The sequence below is a fragment of the Homo sapiens genome, chromosome 15, assembly GCF_000001405.40.
Source record: "Homo sapiens chromosome 15, GRCh38.p14 Primary Assembly".
Lineage (NCBI taxonomy): Eukaryota > Metazoa > Chordata > Mammalia > Primates > Hominidae > Homo > Homo sapiens.
In genome coordinates, this window is record NC_000015.10 from 71,834,647 (window position 1) to 71,854,241 (window position 19,595).

Genomic DNA, 19,595 nt, shown 5'->3' on the forward strand with positions numbered 1-19,595 from the left:
CGTGCCTGTAGTTCCACCTACATGAAGCACTGAGGCGGGAGCCCAGGAGGTTGAGGCTGCAGTGAGCCAAGATCATGCCACTGCACTGCAGCCTGGGTGATAACAGTGAGAGCCTGTCTCAAAACAAACAAACAAACAAAAACAAAAAAGGATTATTATGGGTTAACTTTACTCATAAACACATGCAAAAATCCTAAACAATATCCTAACTACAACGGAATCAAGTAATATAGAAAATGTAATATAAAAATTTTAAATATATGAAAAGTTGGATTTATTGTAGTAGTATGATACTACTACATACACATAATATAATGATACTACTACATTATAATGTAGTAGTCTAATGTAGTCCATTAGAAATGGACTCAGTGTAATGTGTCATATCAATGCAATAAAAAAGTCTGATAAAACCTCAATACATGCAGTAAAGGCATTTCATAAAATTCAACATTCTGTCACAATAACAACTCTTAGAAAACCTGGAATGGAAGGACACATGCTTAATCTCATAAAGTACCTACAAAAATTCTATAGCAAACATCACACTTGGTGGTAAAAGGTTGAAAGCTTTTCCTTTGGGGCTGGGAACATGCCAGTAATGATCACTATCACCACTTCCATTCAACACTATACTGGAGGTTCTAACTTACATAAGAAAAAGAAAGAAAAGGTATAAGGATTACAAAAGAGCAAATGAAACTATCATTATTCATGAATGATATGACTGTACAGGTAGAAAATCCAAAGGAGTCCACAGAAAACTTATTAGAATAAGTGAATTCAGCAAAGTCACTGAATACAAGATGAAAAATACCAAAATCAATTGTATTTTTATACAATAAGCAACAGAAAATAAAAATTTTAAAATAATACCTATGATTGCATTTAAATATTAAATACCTAGTAGTAATTCAAACTAAAGATGTGTAAAATCTCAACGTACAAAACTATAAAACACTTTTGAGAGTAGCTAATGATCTACATGAATGAAGAGATATATCATGTTCACAGATGGGAAAAATCAGTATCGTAAAAATGTCAGTTCTCCAGAAGGCAATCTATAGATCCAATGCAATCCCAATAAAAATCCCAAGAGAATTTTTTGAGGCTGATTTCATAATTTATATGGCATATAAAGAGCCAAGAATAGTCAAAACACCACTGAAGAAGGTAGGATGACTTATTCTACCAGTTATTTTTAGAAAGCTAGGGTAAATAAAATAGTGGTGGTGTTGGTACAAAGATAGTCAAAACAGAGCACCTAGAAACAGACCCACACATAAGAAGGCTCCCAATTTATAATAAAAGGGGAACTGCAGGGCATTGTGGAAAGGAAAAATTTTCTTAAACATGACTTTAAAAGGTATTCATCCTAAAGGGAAAGACTGATTAACAACATTAAAATCCAGAACCTGTGTTCATCAAAAAAGAAAGGAAAAAAGCAAACCATAGAATGGAAGAAAATTTGCAACAAAAGTAACAATAAAGGATTTGTATCTGGAATTCATAAAGAATCCCTACAGAACATCAGAAAAAGACAGACAATCCAATTAGAAAAACAGGCAAGAGCTTTGAACAGGCTCCTCACAAAAGAGGATACAGAAATGGCCAACATGTATATATACACACACATTATACATGTTAGAGTCACAACAAAAAATACAATTTTTAAAAATAACACACCCATCAGAATAGCTAAAATTAAGGAATCTGGCAAAAGAAGTGCTGGAAGGAGGTGGAGCAATTGGGAATTCCTACACATTGCTAACATATTAACAACCATTTTGGAAGAAAGTTTGGCATTATCTACTAAAGCTGAAGACACATATATCCTGTGACCCTGCAAATCCACTCCTGTATATTTCTCCAACAAAAATACATGTATGAGTCCATTAAAATCATAATTCCCCAAAACACAACCCAAATGTCCATCAACAGTAGACTAAATTGTGGTATAATGCATACACTGATAAACTATACAGTTATGAAAATGAGCTACAACAAAATATGAATAAGTCTTACACACATAAGGTTGACTGAAATGAATCAGAGACAAAATAATACATCTTAGATGATACCATTTATATAAAGCTCAAAGTTAGGTAAAGCAAAACTACAGTGCTCAGGGATACATATTTTGGTAGCAAACAAAAAATAAAGTAAGTCATTAATGTAAAAATCAGGTTACTGCTTACCTTTGGAGGAGAAAGAGGATTGTGACTAGAAAGGGAAAGAGGAGAGCTTCTGGGGATGCTGGCAATGTCCTATTTCTTGAGCTGGGGTGGTATGTGGATGTTCATTTATAATAATTCCTTAAACTGAATATGTTTCTGTGTTTTGTATGTGTTTTGTTGTTATGTATGTGTTGTATTTTGCAATAAAAAAGATATTTAAGAGTTCCTTTTCAAAGTTAGCTATTTATGGAAATATACGAATAGCCTTTGAAAATTATGTGACTTTAAACTGACAAATTTCTGAGTTGAGTTTGGCAAGAAAGAAAGGAAAAGTGCTGTCTCAAAAATAGAAATCCATGATCTAGGGCAGGTGATAGGGTAAAGGCTGGAGGGTAGTTCTAAGGGCATTCAGGCTAACTCCTCCAAAACTAAAACACTTAATGGGATAAAATCAGGAGGATTACAATATTGCTATTCCACTTTTAGTTCTAAAATCAACAAGGAAAAAACATGTTAAGAAAAACAAGCTAAAAACAGAAGATCACTCTGCAAATTTAACAAAAAATGACAAAGTATTCTTTATGTTATAAATTCCAGGACATCATCCAGTTCCATTTGACATTGACTATTTCTAGCCAAATGAATAAATAATATGATTTAAAAGCCTCAAGGAGCTTGAAAATCTGAGTTTATTCCTAGTGTCCACATTCCAGTATTCAATAAAAGAGCTGCCTTTTTTCAGTGTTCATACCATCAGCTGGCCACCGGAGTATTTCACCATGAGTTAGCTGCAAATCTTTTAATATGGCTAAAGAAAATCAAACAAGCTCAACAGATCTGATCTCTTTTAAGAAGCATTAAACAAAACAAAGAAAAATGGAAACTCCTACAGCCTAGAATTATCTTAAAAAGATTAAAGTAATTTTTAAAAAGTTGATTACATGGAGCTTTTAGAAACATGAGAAAATACTAATATTGTGTTAAAAACAGTACATAAGGTTGTATACCATTGGTTTTAAAAATGAGTAATACAAAATTTGCAAATACACTAAATTATTAACAGTAGTTTCCTGACTGGAATAATATCCTTCACTTTCCCACTTTCCTAAAATAAGCATGAATTTACTTTTTTCAAACTGGAATTTTTTCTTTTGGATCCATGTTCACTGTATATTCTCTTGTAGTGTTTTTTTCCATAATTGTTTTTCTACCACCAGTGTGTCACAGAGTGAAAAAGGCAAATATTTTCTTGACAGTATCATAAAAATAAATTTGACCTTGTAGACCTCCCTGAAAAGGATCTGTAGATAACACTGAGAAGTGGTTTATAGTATCCTTTGTTCATTTTTCACTGGGTAGCTAATCTTTCTATTTACTTATAGGAGCTTCTCTTTATTAAGGAAAATTAGACTTTGAAATAGGAATTGAAAATATTTTCTTATGGTACGTCACTTCCCTTTTACTTTCCTTATGGTCATTTTTGTCACACAATAATACCTGGTTTTTGTTGCTGAACCTTTCAACTTTTTTCTTTAATGGTCTTATATAATAGCAAAGCCCTGTCCAAGATTATATTTTTCCATCATAATAGGGATTGTATTGGTTTTGACTGATCACAGACTACATGAATAATTTGTACCCAACTCTTAATGCAAGTACTGGAAAAAATATAAAGCCATATTGTCATCCTTTTTCTCAGTAACTATTCCAGTGACTTCCTGGCTTAAACTTTGCAGGCAAACTGTTCCTAAAATGAGAATATCAAATACAATTATCTTGAACTGTTGATAAGTAGTAGGTCTCAAGTCCTACTAAATCACAATTTAATATTATATACAATACCCAGATTTCCAATCCTTTATAGCACATTAACAGGATTATCAGAAAAATCTGGACTGGACTACCACTACCAAAGACATCACAGATAATATGCTTTTGACAGAGAGCCAAGATCAGGAAGCAGTTTAAGACATTATTAGGCTTATAGAGAGCTAACTATTCTCAGTTTGTACAGAAAAATAAACTAGCACTGAATTCATTCCTTTCAAGTGGGAGGAAGTGGAGTTCTCTTCTTAAAAGCTGTGTTTTCAGAGCTCTAAAAAGGTACACTTATAAAATAATTTAAAAATTCTTCTGAATTGTACAATGAGATACTGGGACCCCTGACTTAATAAGAGATCTTTAATCACACTTAAGCTTCTTTCTGGCTTGTTTTCAGTTTCTGTTTTATGAAGATAAATGTTTTTTGGTTAATCTCTTTCCATTTGCTCCCCTTTTCCCTTTTTATTTGCACTTTTTTCACCCTAAAGATGTATCCTCTTCAGCCACCTTTTATGGCTTGGTTTCAACTTTTGCATGAAAAGGTTTAGCTGATAACTTTGCTGATTTCCCCTTGTGCTCCTTCCCGATTGCCCTTTGAGCTGAGTTAAACTACTTGGATATTTTGGCAGTATTAAGGTAGAGAGGTAGGGTACTTGAGTTCTACAGGATGCAGGGCAGTGAGAACCTCTGCCAGGATGGAGTGCCAGAGCTGTACTTCCAGTACTTTTATGTTTTAGTCTTTGATGTGAATCAGGTTTTTTTTTTCTTTCTTTCTTTCTTTAAAGATACAGGGTCTTACTCTTGCTCAGCCTAGAGTGCAGTGGCACAATCATAGCTCACTGCAGCCTTGAACTCCTGGGCTCAAGGGATCCTTCTACCTCAGTGTCCCCAATTCGTCGGACTATAGGCATGTACCACCATGCCCAGCTAACTTTTTAAATTTTTTGTAGAGATGATATCTCGCATTGTTGCCACGGCTGGTCTGAAACTCCTGGCTTCAAGCAATCCTCCTGCCTTGGCCTTCCAAAGTGCTGGGATTATAGGCATGAACTACTGTGCCTGGCCTGAATCGGCTTTTTTTTTGTTTCTTTTCTTCCCTACATGGATATTCATTTTCCCCACATCATTTAGTGAATCCCAGACCTTTGAAATGCCACTCACATTATAATCCTTTATTTTTCTCTTTTAGAATTTTCCTATTCTGCTTCTTTATTTTCTTATGAATTTTAGTATCAACTTGTAAAGATCCCCAAAGTATTCTTTTGCTGTTTTTGTTGAGACCTCATTTGTAAGTAGTTATGAAACTCTTTCCTTGTCTGTGTAAGAACTGATCTTTGGTCAAATGTTCTAGCTCAGGACCCCTGGAAACCTGATAAAGGCAGGATGCAAATGATGTTATTAGGCAACATCACCTCTGGCAAAAATTAATCTGATTGATAAATCGCATCTGGAGAAGTAATTTATAAATATCCCATAGGAAGTCATATATTTCCAATTCCCTGAAAGTGGAGTCTGTTGTAACTGGACATACCCCTTGAGGGGACCCTGGAAACAATATCTATGGAATTTCACAAGAGGTTAATTCCTGTACAGGCATAAAACTTCTAAGGCAGAATAGTTCTGCATCCATTGGATGTGGAGTCCTTTTTCCTTGCACCTGAGTTGTGACTTAGAAGCCAAAGATAACTCATTGATGGTTGTGTGGACTGCTGCAAGGGCTCCCACACGAGGATGATCTTAGGCTCTCTGCAGGCATGCTATACTCCCAGTCCCATATCCTCAGTGATTCTGATGCCAAGTGGAGCCCATGGTAGTCATATGAGTCTGAAAGTTGAGCCTAAGAAAATATCCTCTTTCCCTCCTAGTGGGTATTGAAACAATATATGAATAGATTAATTTAGAAGAACTGACACCATTACAAAATTTAGCCTTTCTTTCCAAATGTATTTAAGTCTTCTTTTGTAATATTTGAGGTTTTAAGGCTTTCTTTTTTTGTTTTTTTTGAGACGGAGTCTTGCTCTGTCGCCCAGGCTGGAGTGCAGTGGCGCGATCTAGGCTCACTGCAAGCTCTGCCTCTGGGGTTCACGCCATTCTTCTGCCTCAGCCTCCTGAGTAGCTGGGACTACAGGCGCCTGCCACCATGCCCGGCTAATTTTTTTGTATTTTTTAGTAGAGACAGGGTTTCACCACGTTAGCCAGGATGGTCTCGACGTCCTGACCTCGTGATCCGCCCACCTCGGCCTCCCAAAGTGCTGCGATTACAGGCGTGAGCCGCCGTGCCCAGCCTTAAGGCTTTCTTTGTACAAATCTTTTACATTTCTTGTTAAGTGTGTTCTTTGGTATTTGATGTTGATGTTTAAAGTGTGTGTGTGTACAATATACAAATGGGCATTTTTCTTCCATCATATCATCCAAGTGATTGTTTGCATAAGTAAAATTTATTAATTGTACTCAGACACCTTATTGAATTCTCTTATCATCTTTAAGTTCCTTCATTGATTTTCTTGAGTTTTGCATGTATATAATCATAATGGAAATGGTGATAATTTTATTTCTTTATTTTATATCTCCAATTCTTTTTCTTAATTGCTTTATCTAGTACCTTCAAATCAATGTCAAATAATAGTGGGGATAATGGATAGCATTGCCTTTTCTGATTTTAATCAGAATGCTTCCAGTGTTCTTCCATTAAGCAAGATGTTGGATTTTGGGTTCAGATATATTTTTTATCATGCTAAGAATGTAAGATATCCCTGTTTTAATAAGAATGTTTTTAAAAAGAATGCTAATATATCAAATGCTTTTAAAATATCTATGAGGATAATACGATTTTTCTCCACAGATCAACAAACATGGTGAATTACATTAACAGCTATCCTAACATAGAGTCATCCTTGCATTCCTAGGTTAAACCCTCCTTGGTCAAGATTTATATTTTTATATTTATAGGCTATTGAATTCTGCTTGCTGATTCATTTTTATTTTATTTTAAATTTTTCTTTATTTTTTATTTTTTTGAGATAGGGTCTCCCCCTGTCACCCAGGCTGGAGTGCAGTCATGGCTCACTGCAGCCTTGACTTCCTAGGCTCAGGTGATTTTCTCATCTCAGCCTCCCTAGTGGCTGGGACTATAGGTGCTCGCCACCAGGGGTAGTTTTTTTTTTTGTTTTTTTTGTTTTTTTTGTAGAGACGGGGTTTCACCATGTTGCCCAGGCTGGTCTCAAACTCCTGGGCTCAAGGATCCACATGCCTTGGTCTCCCAAAGTGCCGGTGATATTTTAACCTAGGATTTTTGAATTAATATTCATAGATGAGGCAGTCCTACATTTATATATCAAGTGCTATCTGTGTATGGGGGTGTGTGTATAAGAACTCTCTTTCTCTCTATGGAGAGAGGTCCATAACAAGCATAATTCTTAATGGTTTTACAAATATTAACTCATTTAGACTGGGCATGGTGGCTCACACCTGTAATCCCACCACTTTGGGAGGCCAAGGAGGGCAGATCACCTGAGGTCAGGAGTTCAATACCAACCTGGCCAACAAGGCAAAACCCCATCTCTACTAAAAATAAATACAAAAATTAACCAGGCGTGGTAGTGCACACCTGTAGTCCCAGCTACTCGGGAGGCTGAGGCATGAGAATCGCTTGAACCCAGGAGGCAGAGGTTGCAGTGAGCCAAGATTGTGCCACTGCACTCCAGCGTGGGTGACAGAGCGAGACTCTGTCTCAATTAAAAAGCAAACAAAAAATTAACTCATTTAATCCTAAGTTTGGTACTATTAACCAATTTATAGATGAGAACACTGAGGCATGGAGATTAAATAACTTGCCCATATCACAACTACTAGTAAACTAGAGCTAGGATTTACACCCAAAAGTCTAGTCCAGAGTCCATGCTGTGCTCTGCTGCTTTTAATATTTCTATATGTGGCTGGGCACGGTGGCTCACACTTGTAATCCCAGCATTTTGGGAGGCTGAGACGGGCAGATTATGAGGTCAGGAGATCGAGACTATCCTGGCTAACACGGTGAAACCCCGTCTTTACCAAAAATACAAAAAAATCAGCCGGGCGTGGTGGCGGGCACCTGTAGTCCCAGCTACTTGGGAGGCTCAGACAGGAGAATGGCGTGAACCCAGGAGGCGGAGCTTGCAGTGAGCTGAGATAGCACCACTGCACTCCAGCCTGGGTGACAGAGCGAGACTCCACCTCAAAAAAAAAAAAAAATTTCTATATGCAATTTTTATTAGCTTTTCTTTGTGTATGCATGTGTGTGTGTGTGTATGGGGCGGGGGGTGGTGAGGATCAATGTTAGACTCTTTTAGTTAAAAAAAAGACCTTTTCCCCTCTCTGCTCTGAGACAGCTTAAATTATATTGTAATTATGTATTTAAAGAGTTGGTACGTTTTCTCTGTGAAACTATTTATGTCTGATGTTTTTATGAGAGGAAGTTCTTAGACAACTCTCCTATCTCTTCTTCTTTTTAAATTAGTCTGTTTGGCCAGGCATGGTGGCTCATGCCTGTAATCCCAGCACTTTGGGAGGCCGAGGTGGGTGGATCACTTGAGGTCAGGAGTTCGAGACCAGCCTGGCCAACATGGTGAAACCCCGTCTCTACTAAAAATACAAAAATTAGCCGGGCACGGTGGCAGGCACCTATAATCTCAGCTACTTGGAAAGCTGAGGCAGAAGAACTGCTGGAACCGGGGAGGCGGAGGTTGCAGTGAGCTGAGATCATGCCATTGCACTCCAGCCCAGGCTGACAACAGCAAGACTCTGTCTCAAAAATAAAGTAAATAAATAAATAAATAGATTAGTCTTAGGATTCTTTTCAGCTACTCTTTTGTTTGTTTTTGTTTAAGACAGGGTCTCACTCTGTCACTCAGGCTGGCGTGCAGTGGTGCTATGTTGGCTCACTGCAACCTCTGCTTCTCAGGCTCAAGCGATCCTCCCACCTCAGCCTTCCAAGTATCTGGGACTATAGGCAAACACCACTACATCTGACTAATTTTTTTGTATTTTTGGTAGAGATGGGGTTTCACCGCATTGCCTAGGCTGGTCTTGAACTCAAGTGATCCGCCCGCCTCGGCCTCCCGAAGTTCTGGGAGCTACCACTCCCAGCCCCTTTTTGGCTATTCTTATTGAGAACCTTGAAGACGACCCAGGAGGAAATTGTTTTTATGGCTAAAAAATAGTAGCTAACATCAGTTCCCATTCCCTATCATAAATATAAGATATAAAGCACCAAAATTTACATTAAGTACTAAACTCTGAGACTTTGTGAGTCCTGGCTCACTCTTCAAGACCCCATAGTACTAATGTCTTAGAGTTTGCTTCAAAACAAAGCCTATTTTGGTTTTAACTTAAGGTTTCCCTTCTGCACAATTATATATACAAGTTTATATGTAAGCTATATAGCTTTTTACAGAATTAAACCTTGTTGACTTTTACCAACTGGTAGTTCTTTCTCCATCTGCTTAATTTAAACTCATCCCTTAAGAGCTAGCTCACATGTCACTTCTACAGCCTTTCCCTGTGCCACCAGGCAGAATTAAGTACTTCTTCCTTAGTATTCTCACCATATTTGGCACACAGTACTGTCTAATCCATCTCTCCCTCCTTCCTTTTGGGACAGGCTTTCTAATACCCACATTCAATCACCTAATCATATAGATTTGCCATGCTCTGTCTAAGGAAGTCTATATATGATTCTATGGTCTATTTTTTCTAAGAATGATATTCTGAAACAGACAGTCTTAATTATTTAATTTGGGTGAGAATTCTGTGAGACCAGTCCATTACAGGCTTCTCAGACTGTAACAAAAATATTGAGAGTCAAATGCTCTAATGTGGGGGATCTGAGTGATACCTATTTGAGGGAAACAGGATACCCTATTTGAGGGAATCAGTTGAAACTCACTTTTTCATTTTCTCCTAAGACTTTAAGAAGATAACAGTGGAAACAAATAGAAGATACTCCAGTGTTAGAATGAATAAGGCCTATGAGGAGAGCTTTGATTTCTTCTGAAAATTCTGTAAGGCTCACGATAGCGAAAGAATGCAAGAAGGAATGGCAAGGCATGATTGATGGGCACAAAGAAATTAAATACTATAAATCGAAGTAAGCCTAAACAGTAAAAGAGACTCATGGTGATAATGAAGGAATGAATTGCATTGCCTTTAGTAAACCTGATGACTATTTAGAAAAAGACATATATTACCCTCATGCAGAAAGTCATGATACTTTATGAAGACCCAAAGAAAGTACACGTTACTAGGGTTTGTCTATGGGTTAAATGTGTGAGGAGGAGGAACTATGCATTATCTAGACAGAATAATAATATAACTAGCTAAAACACAAATCTCAGAATCCTAATGAAATTTTACTCAAAAATAGCACTTCAGGGCAAGACGGAAGATCACTGTTGAGTGCCTTTTGTTAAGTCACAAAAATAGGAAGGAACTGAATTATCAGACCACTTCCTGAGGAGTTTGCTTTCCTGATAAGGAGAGATCCTTTATCCAAGGCTTTTTTTTGAAAAGACTGGTTGTTTTGTGTGGTATTATAACTAGGTATCCAAGCTTGTTCAAAAATCATATCCCAATGCCTGCAGTTATGGTTCACCAGATAATCAGGGTTAGTAAGCACTTTAAATACAGCTAGTATCTGTTTGTAGGTATTTATATCTTGCATATGAAAAGGAATTATTCTCATCAAATATTTCTGTGAAGTGCAGTGAGCCGGTAGTATTATATGTATTATAGTGCAGTGGTTCTCAGAGTGTAGCCCACAGATCCCCAGCAAAGATGCTGGGGTGTGATGATGTCCTCAAAACCATTTCACAGGGTCTACAATGTCAAAATTATTTTCATAATTATACTAAGATGCTATTTGCCATTTTCACTTGTTGACATCTGTACTAATTACATACAAGCAATTGTGGGTTCAACTGCTGTCACCGTTACGTGAATCAAGGTAATGATACCAAATGGTTCTAGCAGTCTTCATATTCTTTTGCTACCACACATTTAGTTTTTAAAAAGTCAGTTTCACTTCATGTCATTGAACAAGAGGTGTAAATTAATTTTATTTACTTCTTAACTGTTAAATTAACTATTTTCAACTTTCTGTATGATTAACTGGAAATTACACATACAGCAACTCTGTCACATACTAATGGTTATCTCAAGAAAGAGTATTAGTGCAATTCTTTGAATTGCAAGCCAAATTAGCTGCTTTATTAATGAAACAGTATTTACAATAATTGACAAAGTTTGATTATTCTTCTTGAGTACGTGGTTTGAAATTATATGAAGGGAATCTGTTACTGCAAGTGAAACAAATGGCGATATTTGTTGTCAGTGAGTAAATTTCAAGCTTTCAAACAAATATGAGAATTTTGGAAAACTTGTATCTGCCCTGTGAGTTTGACAGCTTCCCATATGGTGTGAATGCCAACACCCAGGATTTAGCCAGAAGATGTAACCATATCTTGCAAGGGACTATCAGTGCCTACAGAAATGAGATAGAACTGAGTTCACTGTCAACAGGGTAAACTGGAGCTACTACTTATCTTTACTTAGCCTACTGACAATGAGCCGGAATAGCAGTGTTGAACAACCAAGAAAGTGGACTGCCATCTCAACACCAAGATATCATACAGAATTCTGCCTCCCCTATCACTCCTCCCAGTCTCAACATCAGGGGAGAAAGGGTCAAGAAAGACGAAAGGCAGAAGTGTCTGACAAACAGAAATTACCCACCTACCCTCCAAAGTTTTAAGTTCCAGATAAAGGTCTAGTCTGCCCTGGGAGGAAGTGAGAAGAGCACTGGATTAAAACTGACTGAAGTTTTAATATGAAGAGAACTGACTCTTAAATACTAGAATGAAATGAATTTTTGAAAATTATAGAATTGGTTTCAAGATGCTGTTAAGGTAACTGATATCTAATGGGAAAGGGAAGTTTGACAGGCTGGAGTTAAGAGGCAGTTATAGACAAAAAGAAAAACTGACTTGTATTAGCATCCCAACAAGTTAAGCCTCCTCAATAAAATGGTTACAACACAGGTGGACAGTTTTCCACAAATATTGGTGTTCTCAGCCTTCCATCCCCCCCATTCCTTTTTTTGTACAATCAATGGAACTGAAGAGGGATACCAGCAATGAGATCCTGGTATGAGTTCTAGCATACCATAATATTTAAGTCTAGAACTAGTCCACCAATTTGGATTAGTTCACTCCTATTTGTAGCTCTGTCTGATAAATGCTAAGTGGATAAGAACCATATTTCTACATCTGGGAGGACACCATCGGAGTCACAGATATGAATGGACAAATAAGCATTACTAATGATAGGAGATGCTGAAAGTAATAGTAAGTATTTCAAATAATAAAGTGGAGGAGATTGCTGGGAACACAGCTCATAGAGCAGAAATTAATTTGATATCTCAATGCTTTTAACTTTCACCTTTTAATGATTCAACCAAAGAAGAAACCCAAAAGGAGGCTCATCTAACAAAGAGGAAAAACCAGTGTATTTTAAATGGATGCTGTTCAACTACACAATACAGAGGAAGGAAAATGAAGGATCTAAAGAAAGAGATTAAGAGAAAAGCAAGTGAAAGGTAATCAAAAAGTAGAACCTGACTTGGGGCCGAACATGGAGGGTGGACAGGCATGAATGATAGACAGGGCGGAACAATTCCTGGATGAACGAGAGACAATAATGTAGAGTGGCTGTGACACATTGCATTATTAATACATACCGAGACTGAATTGCGGGTAATGTTCATGAATCTAACTGCAATTAGTACAGGTTTCTGGATTAGGAAGGACATGAAAAGGAAAGCAGAAGGTTAGAATGTACATGTCATTGCCTCATTAAAAGAGAAGGTTTAATCTTGCAATGGACTGAATATCCATCTTCTGCAGCACTGGAAAAAAGCGCAGCTTATCTATCTGCTTTGAAAAGTAGGTTTATAGCAAAAGGCTCTTCCCTTCCTGCCTGGATAGCCACCACTAAATTGGGCCTCTCAGAACTGAGCTCCTGAAAATTCATACTACAGAAATGTTTCACTTTTAAGTGGGATTTCTGTTTTTAATTTCTGGGGAAAAGATTTAGATAGTATCCCCTATGATGAGTTTTATTTAATATCTTTACTGCCTGCAAAAAGCCCATGCTTATGTTTGTTTTTACAGAAGACCCTTCACTACCTTAATCAACAGACCTTTGTTAAGCACTTATTCTGTGCCAGGCAGATTAAATAATAAAGGAAGAAAAAGAATTATTTTAGTGCTAATTTGCAAACTGTGAAGATATGGGAGGAAGTACTGCTGGACCCCTGAAAGAGTAAGGGCATGATGAAGCCTGCTTCTCTTTAGAGATTTATTGGGAATCTGAAATGCGTGCTCATTGTCACAATTTTATTTTACAACTGAGAGGAAGGGTGGCAAATGGGCAATAAATAAACCTTAATGCAGCAGTTTTCCAGTTATCCTGAAAACTGACTTCAGGGTAACATATATGGATAACTCCAGTTCTCAATGACCACTAATCAATAAGGCTGAAGCTATTGATTAGTGGTCATTGAGAACTGGAGTTATATGTTACTGGTTGCAAAGGAAGATATTAAAAAGTGGGCAAACCAAGGAAATAAATTATCGGTTTTACAAGGACTGTCTCAAAACCTAACCCTAAACTCAAAGAAATACTTTTTGATTACAGTAGACTCATAGATGGAATTCCATTTCCTTAAGAATCAAATGATTCCATTTAAATTCAGTTACAAATGATTAAGTTCTCTACATCCCAGGGGTCTTGGCAGGACCACCAAAAGTGACACGATTAAAGGCGGGAACAGACAGTGGAAGGAAGTGGAGAAAAAAGTTAGAAGAGGATTACGTTTTCATAGAAAGGACATGAAAAGAAAGCAAGGCAGATTATTAAGACACCAACATTTTATCTAAATACTTGATTTGAAAAATTCTGCACACTTAATCACATAGATTCTATAATGTAACTAAAGAGAGCCAGCAGATTAAACATGAGGAATCCATAGCACCTTGAGATTTGGTGACGTTTTACTTGTTTTTTATAAAAAAGATTCTGATAATAATCCTTGTATACACCACAAAAGCACATTTAAATTCCCAAGACAACTCCCATTTTTCCACTATTCCATGTGTTGCATCTTACCATTGATCTACGAATCAGTGACAACCTGGTCTTTGCCTTATTCTCAGCAAATTCCAAGCTACTGATATCTTTGAGACGAGCCTTGTATTTATTCATTTGTTCCACAACAATCAGTTCCACACAACTGAAACAGAAGGAAAGAGAAAAAAACTGTTAAGAGGTGAAGTAAATAAAGTATAGCACTCACAGACTGTTTTTGTGGTAGACAGTTGAAAGATGAAGGAAAAAATTAACATCCCTTACTTGATAAACTCAGAGACAAGGTTTAGAATGGTGGTTCACAACTTTGGCTGCACTTTAGAAGCCATCTAAAGAGCAGTTATGGCTGAGCACAGTGGTTCATGCCTGTAATCCCAGCGCTTTGGGAGGCCGAGGCGGGTGGATCACCTGAGGTCAGGAGTTCGAGACCAACCTGGCCAACATGGTGAAACCCTGTCTCTACTAAAAATACTAAATCAGCCAGGCATGGTGGTGCACGCCTATAATCTCAGCTACTTGGGAGGCTGAGGCACGAGAATCGCTTAAACCTGGGAGGTGGAGGTTGCAGTGAGCCAAGATCATGCCACTGCACTCCAGCCTAGGCGACAAGAGTAAAACTCCATCTCAAAAAATTAATTAATTAATTAATTAAAAATAATACAAAATAAAGAGCAGTTACAAATCCCAATGCCCAGGCTACACGCTACACCAATTAAATCAGACTCTCTGGGGATGGGATCCAAATATTGATATATTTTTTAAAGTTCCTTTTGCAGTCAAGATTGAGGAGAGCAAAAGAAAACCATGTTAGAAGGAAAGCAGAGCCTCAAGAAAAAAGACCAAGGTGAAATACAGGAATACTGAAGTATTAAGACCAAAGGATTCAGAGCCATTAAGACCACAGTTAGACTAGATTACAGGAAGATACTAAGTGTCCATAATTTGGTAAAATGGAAATTTAAAATCTATTTAGAAACTACAAGCAGTCCTAAAGAAAAGCCAGATTTTAAAAATAAGATGCTTTAAGACAAATGATGCTCAGTTGAATCCAGGAGTTTGCATCCTCAGCATAAGAAAACCCAGCAGTGTCCAACAATCTTCTTAAAAACACCTGAATTTATGAACCCATTCACTATGTTTGATATCTGGATACAGTGACTACATAGTCAGAAGTCCCTGAGGTCTTGCAAAGGTTATGGTAACTGGCCTTACGTGGTAGTCTTACTGATGTCCTGTACACTTTGTAGTGGGTCAGTGGTGTCAGGGCAGCGGAGAATGCAGGGCGCAAACACAATGGCCAAAGCATTAGCAGACATTCGATTAGTGTCTTCCTGCAGAGCAATCCTAAGAATTAAAACAAAACAAAAAACAAATGAGTAAGGGATAAAAAGGGAGCACCATAGGGAAATAGGCAGAAGAGATGAGCAAAAGAAGACAGTATGACATGAACTGCATAGTACTAGAAGGATATCCATTAAGTTTAAGGGTCTGCAGACTTTTCCCAAGTTGTTCCTTTGTTCCTTTGTCTCTGGAAAATGTATTTTCACTTGTTCTTTCCTTGAAGCAGTCTAGGTCAGCCGATAGCTTCCCAAGGGAAATTTGTGACCTACCTGCTCTAGGCCAAGATCACTAGATGAACATGTCCAAAGAATGCAGAATCGGCCAGGCACGGTGGCCCACACTTGTAATCCAGCACTTTGGGAGGCCAATGTGGGCAGATTACTTGTGGTCAGGAGTTTGAGACAATCTTGGCCAACATGGCAAAACCTTGTCTCTACTAACAATACAAAAATTAGCCAGGGTGTGGTGGCGCACACCTGTAATCCCAGCTATGTAGGGGGCTGAGGCAGGAGAATCACTTGAACCGGGGAGGCGGAGGTTGCAGTGAGCTGAGATTGCGTCACTGCACTCCGGCCTGGGTGACAGACTGAAACTGTGTCTCAAAAAAAAAAAAAAAAAAAAAAAAAAAAAAAAAAAAGAATGCAGAGTAGAGGCTTTAACCAAAAATAAAGATGGCTTTCTTCTCAACTACTGCTGATATTTACACACAGGGGAAGAGACACTACTCCTGACGCCTCTTTGGTCAATTCCTGAGAATGATCTGAACCCCTCATATGAATTAGGTCATTTCAATAGATTATATATCCTTTCTAGTTCAGCTGTTAGAAAACAGGCTAAACTACACACTGCCACCATGAGGCTGAAGCTGTTACATGGTTCAAACAAGGGCAGAAAAGCAACTGCCATGCATTCCAGCTCAGCTGAATATTTCTGCTCCAAGGTATCCTAACCACCTGTTTGAGACACTGACTTTATAAATAGAAGAAAAAATAAATACCTGTCAGTCTTCCAAATGGAGAAATTCCTTATCTATTTAAAATAATCCAAGAGAAACTATTAAAAATCGTTCCCTTGCTTCTTAAAGTTACCTGACTAGATGAAAGATGAGGCGTTCCAGTGTATTGAGATGAGTTCGGGAGAGTTGATCAATCACAGAGTATACACCACGGATTGTCTCCTTCCTCTCCTGAAGGCCTAAAAACAGTAAGAGCAGAAACTAAGACTAAATATCCCCCCTTATACAGTGTATCTTCCTCCCAGACACTATGAAGCAAAGAAGGCTGGCTACAGAGTTTTAGGAGTAGTTGTACCTGTAGGGCAGGAGAAGAGCAACTCACAGTAACTATTTAACTCCTTTTGCTTGAGTTCTATATTCATAAACAGTCTCCTTAGTTTGAACCTATATCACAGTAATCCTTAATAACAGCAAGGGGATAGAGATGTTCTAGTTTTTCAGTCATTGTGTAGCAGATTGATTTACCATTAAAGTCAACATAATTTATGAATCCTCAGGGCCTAAATACCTCTAGGAAGGCCTTTATCAATATCCTACGCACTTACAGCACTGAGAAACTAAACTCTGAAACCTGTTAAGCTTGGCATAAAACAGCCAGCTTTACACATAGTTCTTGCCTAGATTTCCAATTTAAATGAACATAAGCCTAATCTTAAAACTTATTTTTAATATTTTAATCTGTTTTATAACCCCAGTCTTTCCATTTCTTTGTAAGAAGCAACCAAGTGTCTCACTCAGAAAATTTTTAGGACACTAACGTTTTGATGAGTCTCTAAAAAGTCAACATTTGAATAGGTGACAGTATACTAGCCGTTTTGTATTCACTGTCAAAAGCTTACCTTTGAATCTATAAGAATTAAACCACTAGAGGATGGCTTGATAATCTATACTCAAGATGGCATTTCTTTCCCAACTATAGGCCTTCTCTCTAACCCAGGAAGCCTATGCTTACCCATAGCTCGAAGAAATTCCTCATAGAGTTCAAAGGTCATGAGAGGATTGGGCAAATCTCGAAGCCATTGTTTGAATACACTTGCAATGACGTGTATGTTATAGTCATCTAGATTTACACTCTCAGCATCTATTTAGAGACAAGAGTTAGATTAACAGAGCCAAAACATGCAAAGAGATTCAAATAATTCACTTTAGAAACTATCATCATTAAAGGAAGGCTTCATGTTTCTTTTTTTTTTTTTTTTTTGAGATGGAGTTTCACTCTTGTTGGCCAGGCTGGAGTGCAATGGTGTGATCTCAGCTCACCACAACCTCTGCCTCCCGAGTTCAAGTGATTCTCCTGCCTCAGCCTCCGGAGTAGCTGGGATTACGGGCATGCGCCGCCACGCTTAGCTAATTTTGTATTTTTAGTAGAGACGGGGTTTCTCCATGTTGGTCAGGCTGGTCTCGAACTCCCAACCTCAGGTGATCCACCTGCCTTGGCCTCCCAAAGTGGAGGGATTACAGGCGTGAGCCACCATGCCCGGCCGGCTTCATGTTTCTTAGTCAAACTGACTAACCTATTTTCCACAATGTAATTCCATGCTTTGGAACTGTGCTTCTAACTGTGGTGAAAGAATACGTCTTGTGTATTTGTTTTCCAAACCTGTTGTGGACTGAAATGTGTAAAATAAAAGATCATGGCCAGGAGCAGCGGCTCATGACTGTAATCCCAGCACTTTGGGAGACTGAGACAGGCCGATTACTTGAGGCCAGGAGACAGAAAGCAGCCTGGCCAACGTGGTGAGACCTGTCTCTACTAAAAATATAAAAATTAGCTGGGTGTGGTGGCACACGCCTATAATCCCAGCTACTTGGGAGGCTGAGGCAGAATTGCTTGAACCCAGGAGACGGAGGTTGCAGTGAGCCAAGGTCACACCATTGTACTACAGCCTGGGCAACAGAGCAAGACTGTCTCTGAATGAATGAATGAATGAATGAATGAATGTTTTCGTGCTGAAGCACTGTTATACTGCTATAAACGTCTCTACATGCTTGCTCTCAATTTCTGTACTTACCTGGTTTTGGATTTGTCCACAGACCACACTTTGAGTAACAATGGTTTACATGACAAATGAAAAAACGCATACAGGACACTTTCTGAAAGTAAGGCTAATTTTAAGTCATTCTTAGAGATAAAAGGACAGTGATAACTGAGCTTAGAAAATGTAAAGGAAACACCTTCACCCGTTTCACTTATAAACTCCCTAAGGATATACAGATTAGATGACTGGGGAAGATTCAGGATGATTGATTTTCACTTGTGCTATTTCAAGGTATCAGAGACAAAGTCAGTAACTGCCTGTAAACCAAAGTAGACCAAGTCTCTTGTAGACGGAACCTCCTGCCTGAGTCTTACCAGTCATTGTTATTATTTTCATACTCAATTCATTTCTCATTGATTTGTTCATAAGAAACAGCACTGAACACAGGTTCTTGCCCACACAAGGACATGCTTTACTCTGTTTAGTTCAAAAAGATCTATTCCTTCCCAACAGTGGTAAAATGTAGAAGTTGAGAATGAAACCAGAGTCAGTCCCCTGCATGAATTCCAGTACTAAAACTACAGCTCTACAAAGATACATGCTCAACTCACTAATTATCAGTTTGAGTAACTGTCATCAGTGTAGGCAGGCAAGAAGATGATACACAGGAAAGAGTACCCCTTGGAGTCAGAATAATAAAGAGAAAGGGGAAATAGATTATGAATTCAGAAGATCTGGGGTTAACTCCAATTTGGTCACTTATTGGCGATCAGTCTTTGGGCAAGATCTTCTGTAAGCCTCAGTTCCTTTTTCTGTAAATGGGGATAATAATATCCCTAATTCATAGGATTGTTGTGAATATTATAAAAACATTAGTACAGCACCTTGCATCATCATCAGCAGCTCATTATTTAATTTCCCTATACCTTAGTTTTTCTCTTTGTCAATCAGAGGTATCACAATCTTACTAAATTATTACAAAAATTAAATGAGATCTGTCCCAAGTGCAAATTATATGCTCAATATATGTCTGCTGAGTTGACCAAATGAAACCAAAGACTCTTTAGAAAGCCAAAAAATGAT

General features: G+C 38.0%; 1 protein-coding gene across 50 annotated transcripts in view; it reads right to left on the reverse strand.

Moving 5' to 3' along the window:
• MYO9A (myosin IXA) overlaps nt 1-19,595 on the reverse strand; it is a 296,310-nt gene that overhangs the window by 12,356 nt on the left and 264,359 nt on the right. For 37 of the 50 annotated variants that reach the window (XM_047432576.1, XM_047432553.1, XM_047432585.1 and 34 more), the window contains 5 exons: nt 17,486-17,614; nt 16,607-16,712; nt 15,390-15,521; nt 14,199-14,322; nt 12,769-12,822 (listed from right to left, as the gene is read on the reverse strand). In XM_047432576.1, coding sequence (XP_047288532.1) covers nt 12,769-12,822; nt 14,199-14,322; nt 15,390-15,521; nt 16,607-16,712; nt 17,486-17,614 — 545 coding nt within the window. The remainder of the gene's footprint in view (nt 1-12,768; nt 12,823-14,198; nt 14,323-15,389; nt 15,522-16,606; nt 16,713-17,485; nt 17,615-19,595) is intronic. The other 13 variants (XM_047432578.1, XM_047432559.1, XM_047432549.1 and 10 more) reach the window with 1 other exon arrangement.